Here is a 9,502-nt window from a genome sequence, read left to right on the forward strand (position 1 = left end):
TCAATTGCAGGCAGGCAGAGGGCTGGGCCTTTGAGCAAGATACACCCAAGAGCCTGGGTGAGCCTCCCCGACCTTCCTCTTCCCTATCTTCCCGGCAGGACCAGTCCATGGGCAATTGGCAGATCAAGCGCCAGAATGGAGATGATCCCTTGCTGACTTACCGGTTCCCACCAAAGTTCACCCTGAAGGCTGGGCAGGTGGTGACGGTGAGTGGCAGGGCGCTTGGGACTCTGGGGAGGCCTTGGGTGGCGATGGGAGCGCTGGGGTAAGTGTCCTTTTCTCCTCTCCAGATCTGGGCTGCAGGAGCTGGGGCCACCCACAGCCCCCCTACCGACCTGGTGTGGAAGGCACAGAACACCTGGGGCTGCGGGAACAGCCTGCGTACGGCTCTCATCAACTCCACTGGGGAAGTAAGTAGGCCTGGGCCTGGCTGCTTGCTGGACGAGGCTCCCCCTGATGGCCAACATCGGAGCCAGCTGCCCCCAACCCAAGTTTGCCAATTCAGGGCCCCTTTCTAGAGCTCTCTGTTGCAGGCTCCAGACTTCTCCACCCAGTAGGCAAACCAAAAGATGCTTCCTCAACAGCACAAGGGGTGGAAGTTAGACAGTGAGGATTGTTAAAGGCAGAGCCATACTCCTACCCGGAGAGCTTGACAGTGTCCCTCTGGGGTGGAAATGAGTTCCTTAGCTCCATCACCACAGAGGACAGAGTAAGCAGCAGGCCGGACAAAGGGCAGGCCACAAGAAAAGTTGCAGGTGGTCACTGGGGTAGACATGCTGTACAACCCTTCCCTGGCCCTGACCCTTGGACCTGGTTCCATGTCCCCACCAGGAAGTGGCCATGCGCAAGCTGGTGCGCTCAGTGACTGTGGTTGAGGACGACGAGGATGAGGATGGAGATGACCTGCTCCATCACCACCACGTGAGTGGTAGCCGCCGCTGAGGCCGAGCCTGCACTGGGGCCACCCAGCCAGGCCTGGGGGCAGCCTCTCCCCAGCCTCCCCGTGCCAAAAATCTTTTCATTAAAGAATGTTTTGGAACTTTACTCGCTGGCCTGGCCTTTCTTCTCTCTCCTCCCTATACCTTGAACAGGGAACCCAGGTGTCTGGGTGCCCTACTCTGGTAAGGAAGGGAGTGGGAACTTTCTGATGCCATGGAATATTCCTGTGGGAGCAGTGGACAAGGGTCTGGATTTGTCTTCTGGGAAAGGGAGGGGAGGACAGACGTGGGGCATGCCCGCCCTGCCTCTCTCCCCCATTCTTGTTGCATGCATATCCTCTCATTTCCCTCATTTTTCCTGCAAGAATGTTCTCTCTCATTCCTGACCGCCCCTCCACTCCAATTAATAGTGCATGCCTGCTGCCCTACAAGCTTGCTCCCGTTCTCTCTTCTTTTCCTCTTAAGCTCAGAGTAGCTAGAACAGAGTCAGAGTCACTGCTCTGGTTCTCTGTCCCCAAGTCTTCCTGAGCCTTCTCCCCTTTTATGTCTTCCCTCTCCTCCTCCGGGCCCCTAGCCTCCCAAACCCCCATTGCCCGCTGGCTCCTTGGGCACAGAACCACACCTTCCTGCCTGGCGGCTGGGAGCCTGCAGGAGCCTGGAGCCTGGTTGGGCCTGAGTGGTCAGTCCCAGACTCGCCGTCCCGCCTGAGCCTTGTCTCCCTTCCCAGGGCTCCCACTGCAGCAGCTCGGGGGACCCCGCTGAGTACAACCTGCGCTCGCGCACCGTGCTGTGCGGGACCTGCGGGCAGCCTGCCGACAAGGCATCTGCCAGCGGCTCAGGAGCCCAGGTGGGCGGACCCATCTCCTCTGGCTCTTCTGCCTCCAGTGTCACGGTCACTCGCAGCTACCGCAGTGTGGGGGGCAGTGGGGGTGGCAGCTTCGGGGACAATCTGGTCACCCGCTCCTACCTCCTGGGCAACTCCAGCCCCCGAACCCAGGTGAGTTGTCTCTGCTTTGTCTCCAAATCCTGCAGGCGGGTCCCTGGTCATCGAGGGGTAGGACGAGGTGGCCTTGCAGGGGGGAGAGCCTGCCTTCTCTTCCGCAGCCCGGGGGAGTGGGAGCCTCCTCCCCACAGCCTGAGTCCTAGACAGCCCACCTCTGCATCCTGCCCCTCTTGTCTGAGCCCCAGACTGGAGGGCAGGGGCAGGGCTGGAGTGTGAGGGATGGGGGAGATGCTACCTCCCTTCTAGGGGCCAGGGGAGGGAGGGTCTGGGTCCAGGCCCTGCTGCTCACACCTCTCTCCTCTGTTTTCTCTCTTAGAGCCCCCAGAACTGCAGCATCATGTAATCTGGGACCTGCCAGGCAGGGGTGGGGGTGGAGGCTTCCTGCGTCCTCCTCACCTCATGCCCACCCCCTGCCCTGCACGTCATGGGAGGGGGCTTGAAGCCAAAGAAAAATAACCCTTTGGTTTTTTTCTTCTGTATTTTTTTTTCTAAGAGAAGTTATTTTCTACAGTGGTTTTATACTGAAGGAAAAACACAAGCAAAAAAAAAAAAAAGCATCTATCTCATCTATCTCAATCCTAATTTCTCCTCCCTTCCTTTTCCCTGCTTCCAGGAAACTCCACATCTGCCTTAAAACCAAAGAGGGCTTCCTCTAGAAGCCAAGGGAAAGGGGTGCTTTTATAGAGGCTAGCTTCTGCTTTTCTGCCCTGGCTGCTGCCCCCACCCCGGGGACCCTGTGACATGGTGCCTGAGAGGCAGGCATAGAGGCTTCTCCGCCAGCCTCCTCTGGACGGCAGGCTCACTGCCAGGCCAGCCTCCGAGAGGGAGAGAGAGAGAGAGAGGACAGCTTGAGCCGGGCCCCTGGGCTTGGCCTGCTGTGATTCCACTACACCTGGCTGAGGTTCCTCTGCCTGCCCCGCCCCCAGTCCCCACCCCTGCCCCCAGCCCCGGGGTGAGTCCATTCTCCCAGGTACCAGCTGCGCTTGCTTTTCTGTATTTTATTTAGACAAGAGATGGGAATGAGGTGGGAGGTGGAAGAAGGGAGAAGAAAGGTGAGTTTGAGCTGCCTTCCCTAGCTTTAGACCCTGGGTGGGCTCTGTGCAGTCACTGGAGGTTGAAGCCAAGTGGGGTGCTGGGAGGAGGGAGAGGGAGGTCACTGGAAAGGGGAGAGCCTGCTGGCACCCACCGTGGAGGAGGAAGGCAAGAGGGGGTGGAGGGGTGTGGCAGTGGTTTTGGCAAACGCTAAAGAGCCCTTGCCTCCCCATTTCCCATCTGCACCCCTTCTCTCCTCCCCAAATCAATACACTAGTTGTTTCTACCCCTGGCTGCTGTGGTGTCTTTGTTGGTGGACGTCGCTGTGTGTACTGAGGTGCAGACTCGTGGGCATGCGCGCGCGTACACACACACACACACACACACACACACACACACACACACACACAGCGCCGCACGGTCACTGCATCCTCCTGCTCATTGCTGCCCAGCCCTGCCCTGCTCCAGGGGAAACAATTAGAGATCAGAGCACTTTGGGTGCACATCTGGGCACTCGGTGGTGGCTGAGGGGGAAGGCTTTGATATAACCATCACCACCCACTGTACGGCTCTCTCCCAACGGAAGTCCTTCAGAGAAGCAGCACCTGAAGGAGGGCATTTGCTAACTAACTTCCCTCGTCCACCAGCACTTACTGAGTGCTTTCTCTGTGCTGGGCCCTGAGCGAAGCATGAATATAAGACATATGATATAGACCCAGTCTGAGGGTGGTGACATATCAGGACGTAAGGACAAGGACACCCGGGGAGGAGGGAACAGAAGCTGCAGGAGAGGGCAGAGGAAAGGAGCAGTTAATGTCCCTTTGTGCCATGTTGTGCTCAGGTTGGGGGATTGGGAAATGAACAAGACAAGATGCCCACTGTCCTCAGAGAAATTACACCCCAGTGGGAGTCAGAAAATAGACTGCAGACAAAGGGATATGTTAGGCCAAGTAGGAGCCTCCGAGGGGGTTCCAACCTGGGGGCATGAGGTGCCCAGACTGAGGGGAGGGGCCCCAAACAGGGAAAATGAGCTATAGAAGCCAGCCTTTCTCTGGCCCTTCCTAGTTTCCAAAGCATTTCTGCAGCATCTCATTTGGCCTTCGTACTGTCTTGAGAGGTAGGTATTGTCTCCCAGCCCTCTGGAACTCAGGCCACTCAGCTCGAAGGTGGCACAGATCCCAAGATTCTGGAAGTTTATTTATGTTCCTTGGGCAGAGTTGAGCCTGCAGTCAAGAGTCAGTGAGAAACGGGCATGTCTGGCTGGGATCGTGGGAAAACATGTGAGAAAGCAAAATTACTGAGAGGAGAAGGGCCCCTGAGGTCATGCTGGACGCTCCTGATTCCACCATAGGCTGAGACCCCACAGTGCCTTTAGGGAAGGGAAGTTAAGCGGAAGGAGGTTTGAGGAAGGGGTCCCTGCTTGGGTTGGCAGTTTCCAAGAAGGAAACCCTTCCTCTCCTAGGCCTCAGCAAAGACCCTGAGGCCCCGCAGATATGGGGTCTTAGATGTCAGCGAGGGAGTCCGTGTGTCCCAAAATGAGGACTCCCACCTGCAGTTCCTGGGTCGGGCACCTTGGGGCGCCAGAGCCCCACCACGGTGGTGCCTGCACATCCTGGGTAGGGGTCCTTCGCTACTCAGCTGAACCCTGGTGAGCTGGCTGCATGGGCACTGTGGGCTGGGGAACACCAGGGGCAGCAGGCAACGTTCCTAGCTCTTGAGGAGGAGGGCTGAGGGCATAGGGCCGCACACAAACACTGCCCCACAAGCTGGCAGCACGGCGGGGGCGGCAGCCGGGGACTCAGCAGTTAAGGTGTCCACACACGTGGTCACCTCACATGATGCTCACAGCACAAGTCAGCACTCAGCAGCCACATTTCATTATGTAAAAAAAAAAAAGTTGTTGTTGTTAAAATGTAATACATGCTTGGCCTAGCGTGGTGGCACGCACGCCTGTAGTCCCAGCAACTCCTGGCCTGAGGCGGGAAAATTGTCTGAGCTCAGGAGTTCTAGGCCAGCCTGGGCAACAGCAACAACAAAAATACATATCATATGGTAAAATTCAAAACACAGGTAAGGGATGGACACAGTGGCTCACGCCTGTAATCCCAGCACTTTGGGAGGCTGAGGTAGGCGGATCTCAGGTCAGGAGTTTGAGACCAGCCTGGCCAATGTGGCAAAATGCCTCTACTATACAAAAATTAGCTGGGTGTGGTCGTGCATGCCTGTAATCCCAGCTATTCGGGAAGCTGAGGCAGGAGGATCGCTTGAACTGGGTGGCTTATGTTGCAGTGAGCCAAGATCATGCAACTGCACTACAGCCTTTACAGCCTGGGCGACAGAGTGAGACTCCCTCTCAAAAAAAAAAAAAAAAAAAAAGTCAATATGTTGCTCAGGGTATTTATTTATTTATTTATTTATTTATTTATTTATTTATGAGATGGAGTCTCGCTCTGTCACCCAGGCTGGAGTGCAGTGGCGCAATCTCGGCTCACTGCAAGCTCCGCCTCCCGGGTACACGCCATTCTCCTGCTTCAGCCTCCCGAGTAGCTGGGACTACAGGCACCTGCCACCATGCCCTGCTAATTTTTTGTATATTTAGTAGAGATGGGGTTTCACCATGTTAGCCAGGATGGTCTCGATCTCCTAACCTCGTGATCCACCCGCCTCAGCCTCCCAAAGTGCTGGGATTACAGGCATGAGCCACCGCGCCCAGCTATTTATTTATTTATTTTTAATAATTTTTTTTTTTAAAACAGGTAAGAACAAATAATTTTTTTTAAATCCATTTTTTTCTTTCTTTTTTTTTTTGAGACAGTCTCACTCTGTCACCTAGGCGGGAGTGCAGTGTCTTGATCTCAGCTCACTGTAGCCTCCACCTCTTGCGTTCAAGTGTTTCTCCTGCCTCAGCCTCCTGAGTAGCTGCCATTACAGGCATGTGCCACCACACCCAGCTAATTTTTGGCATTTTTGGTAGAGACGGGGTTTCGCATGTTGGCCAGGTTGGTCTTGATCTCCTGGCCTCAAGTGATCTGCCCACCTTGGCCTCCCAAAATGCTGAGATTACAGGCATGAGCCACCACACCTGGCCTGGAAAGATTATCTTTTTCTTTTCTTTATTTTTGAGATGGAATCTCACTCTGTTACCCAGGCTGGAGTGCAGTGGTGCGATCTCAGCTCACTGCAACCTCTGCCTCCTGTTTTCCAGTGATTCTTGTGCCTCAGACTCTGAAGTAACTGGGACTACAGGCATGCACCACCACACCCAGCTTCCTTCTTTCTTTCTCTTTTCTTTTCTTTTCTTTCTTTTTGCATTTTTTTTTTTTTTTTGTATTTTTAGTAGAGATGGGGTTTTGCCATGTTGCCCAGGCTGGTCTTGAACTCCTGGCTTCAAGCAATCCACTGGCCTCGGTCTCCCAAAGCACTGGGATTACAGGCGTGAGTCACTGTGCCCGGCAAGATTATCTTCGTCATATCGCTTTTTGTTTATTGGTGTTTGGGGTTTTTTTAGAATTGGAGCCTCACTATGTTGCCCAGGCTGGCCCTGAACTCCTGGGCTCAAGCAATCCTCCTGCTTCAGCCTCCTGAGTAGCTGGGACTATAGGCACCCCAGCTTCATAGCAGTCCTTAAGATTAGGAGGGGGCCAGGTGTGGTGTCTCACACCTGTAATCCCAGCACTTTAGGAGGCCAAGGAGAATGGATTGCTTGAGTCCAGGAGTTTGAGACCAGCTGGGGCAACATAGTGAGACCCTGTCTCTATTAAATTTAAAAAATAATAATAATAAAATAAAAGATTAAGAGAGGGAGGCTGAGGTGGGTGGATCACGAGGTCAGGAGTTCAAGACCACCCTGGCCAAGATAGTGAAACTCGACTCTACTAAAAATCTTTCAATTTGTAACCACATGCACACAAACTTTTGTCCCTAGCCCAGTCGTCTCCATTCTCCAGAGGACGATTTCACACCTTTGCCTCTCTCTTTACTCTCAGCTGCTTTACACCAAGGAGACTGTTCCCTGCTTTACACCAAGGAGACTGCCCTTTGTCAAGGCCCCCAGCACCCTGCACATTGCTAACCCAGTAACCACTTCTCAGTCCTCATCTAACTTGACCTTGTTTGTCATGGGAGTGTGGTCCTCAGCCTACATTGCCAATCCTTTCTTTTCTCCCTGGCCGCTAAGAGATGGAGTGCCCCAGGGCTTGATTCTCTTCTCTGTCTACACTCAGGCCCTAAGAGATTTCCTCCAGGCCCGTGGCTTTAATGACTGTGCCTATGTTGGTGACTCTTTATCCTTCAGCCCGTTCCTTTGCCTGGAACCCCAGACCGGAATCCCCACGTAAAGGTCTGACGGCATCTCGAAGTTAACATGTCCAACACTGCTACCCAGATTTCCACCTACCCCCAGTCTGCTCTGCTTATCATCTTCTCCATCTCAGCTCATGACCGCACCATCCTTTCCAGTTGCTTTAGCCATAAATCCTGGAGTCATCTTTAACTTCTATTTTCCTCTCATACTTCACATTCAGTCCATTAGTAAAACTCCATCTTTAAAATATGTCTGGAATCTGGCCAGGCGCAGTGGCTCACACTTGTAATCCCAGCAGTTTGGGATGCCGAGGCGGGTGGATCACCTGAGGTCAGGAGTTCAAGACCAGCCTAGCCAACATGGTGAAACCCTGTCTCTACTAAAAATACAAAAATTAGCCAGCTGTGGTGGCACGAGGCCTGTAATCCCAGCTACTCAGGAGACTGAGCAGGAGAATTGCCTGAACCTGGGAGGCAGAGGTTGCAGTGAGCCTAGATCATGCCCCTGTACTCCAGCCTGGGCAACAGAGTGAGACTCCGTCTCAAAATAAAATAAAATAAAAAATAAATACAATAAAATAGTCTGGAATTCAGGCCATTCTCATCACCGCTGCTGCCACCACCATCATCTGTTGTCTGGATTATGGCATTAGTTTTATAACTGGTCTCTTGCCTTTGCTCTGTACAGTTTATTCTCCACACAGCAACAGAGTGATCCTTTAACAGTTTGGTCACTCCTCTGCTCAGAACCCTCAGTGTCTTCCCAAAGCACGAAAATGTTAAAGCCAAAGTCTTCACAATGGCATACAAAGCCGTGCATGATGACCCCTCCCACCTCATCTGTCACTATTCTCCCTTGTTCTCACCCCATTGGAGCTACCGTGGCTGCCTAGATATTCCTAGAACACGCCACGCACACACCTGCCTCAGGACCTCTGAACTAATGGTTCCCTCTGCCTGGACCATTTTTCTCATTAGGTATCTGCATGCCTTGTTTTCACTCTTTCTTCAGATCTCTATTCAAATGTCAGTGTCCAGTAAAGCCTTCCCTGACCAAATTACATTTTATATTTTATTTTACTTTTTGAGGTAGGGTCTCACTCTGTCACCCAGGCTGAGTGCAGTGGTGTGATCATGGCTCACTGCAGCCTCGACCTCCCAGGATTTAAACAATCCTCCTGCCTCGGCCTCCCAAAGTGCTAGGATAACAGGCATAAGCCACCATGCCCAGCCCCCTTACCAAATGTTGTTATTATTATTTTTTTTTGAGATGGAATCTTGCTCTGTCACCCAGGATGGAGTGGATTATGTGATCTGGCACACTGCAACCTCTGCCTCCCAGGTTCAAGCGATTCTCGTGCCTCAGCCTCCCGAGTAGCTGGGATTACAGGCATAAGCTGCCATGCTCAGCTAATTTTTGTATTTTTAGTAGAGACGGGGTTTCACCATGTTGACCAGGCTGGTCTTGAACTCCTGGCCTCAAGTGATCCACCCATCTCGACCTCCCAAAGTGCTGGGATTACCCTACCATACCCAGCCCCCTGACCAAATTTTATAAAAGAGTAGCATCTTCCTCATCCCGAGTTTTAACCTCCCAGCCACTCTTTCTTCTTTATTTTTCTCTGGGACATTTAACACTATTGAGCATACATTACACTTGTGTATTTGTGTCTTCCACCAAAATACATACACCTGAGGGGCAGGTCTTTTGTTGTTTTTTTCATGCTAAGTCCCCAGTACCTATTGCAGTGCCTGACTATATTGTAGGTGCTTTATAAGTATTTAAAGTAAATGCATAGACTCAGAAATTGAATCGCTCAATGTGAGAACTTTTTTTTTTTGAGACAAGGTCTCACCATGTTGTCCAGGCTGGAGTACAGTGGCTATTCACAGGCTTGATCATAGCATCATAGCTCACAGCAGCCTTGGGTTCCTGGCAGCTTCCCAAGTAGCTGGGACCGCAGGCACGCGCCGCCATCCTGCCCAGCTATGTGAGCACTTTTGCAGAACCTGAGACCTATTGCCAAGTATCATCCCAAAGAGTGGAACTAATTTTCACTTTAACCACTAGTGGGCAGGTTATTACCATTCTCATTTTAATGAAGGCGGCTGAGACCCAGCGAGAGAAGAGGTTTACCCCAAGTCACCCAGGACTCCAGATTCTCAGAAAATACAGTGGCAACTCAGAATACTGTGGGAGGACCAGGGGGGCTTTGCAGAGGAAAGG

The 9,502-nt window shown here is 52.5% G+C and overlaps 1 protein-coding gene across 28 annotated transcripts in view; it reads left to right on the forward strand.

Annotated features, from left to right (window-relative positions):
- LMNA (lamin A/C) overlaps positions 1–3,259 on the forward strand; it is a 57,509-nt gene extending 54,250 nt beyond the window's left edge. For 14 of the 28 annotated variants that reach the window (NM_001406983.1, NM_001406991.1, NM_001406993.1 and 11 more), the window contains 5 exons: positions 99–206; positions 291–410; positions 832–921; positions 1,666–1,935; positions 2,258–3,259. In NM_001406983.1, coding sequence (NP_001393912.1) covers positions 99–206; positions 291–410; positions 832–921; positions 1,666–1,935; positions 2,258–2,284 — 615 coding nt within the window. In that variant the 3' untranslated portion in view covers positions 2,285–3,259. Of the gene's footprint in view, positions 1–98; positions 207–290; positions 411–831; positions 1,045–1,665; positions 1,936–2,257 lie in introns of those variants that run through there. The other 14 variants (NM_001282625.2, NM_001406984.1, NM_001407002.1 and 11 more) reach the window with 4 other exon arrangements.

The sequence above is a fragment of the Homo sapiens genome, chromosome 1 (genome assembly GCF_000001405.40).
Source record: "Homo sapiens chromosome 1, GRCh38.p14 Primary Assembly".
Classification (NCBI taxonomy): domain Eukaryota; kingdom Metazoa; phylum Chordata; class Mammalia; order Primates; family Hominidae; genus Homo; species Homo sapiens.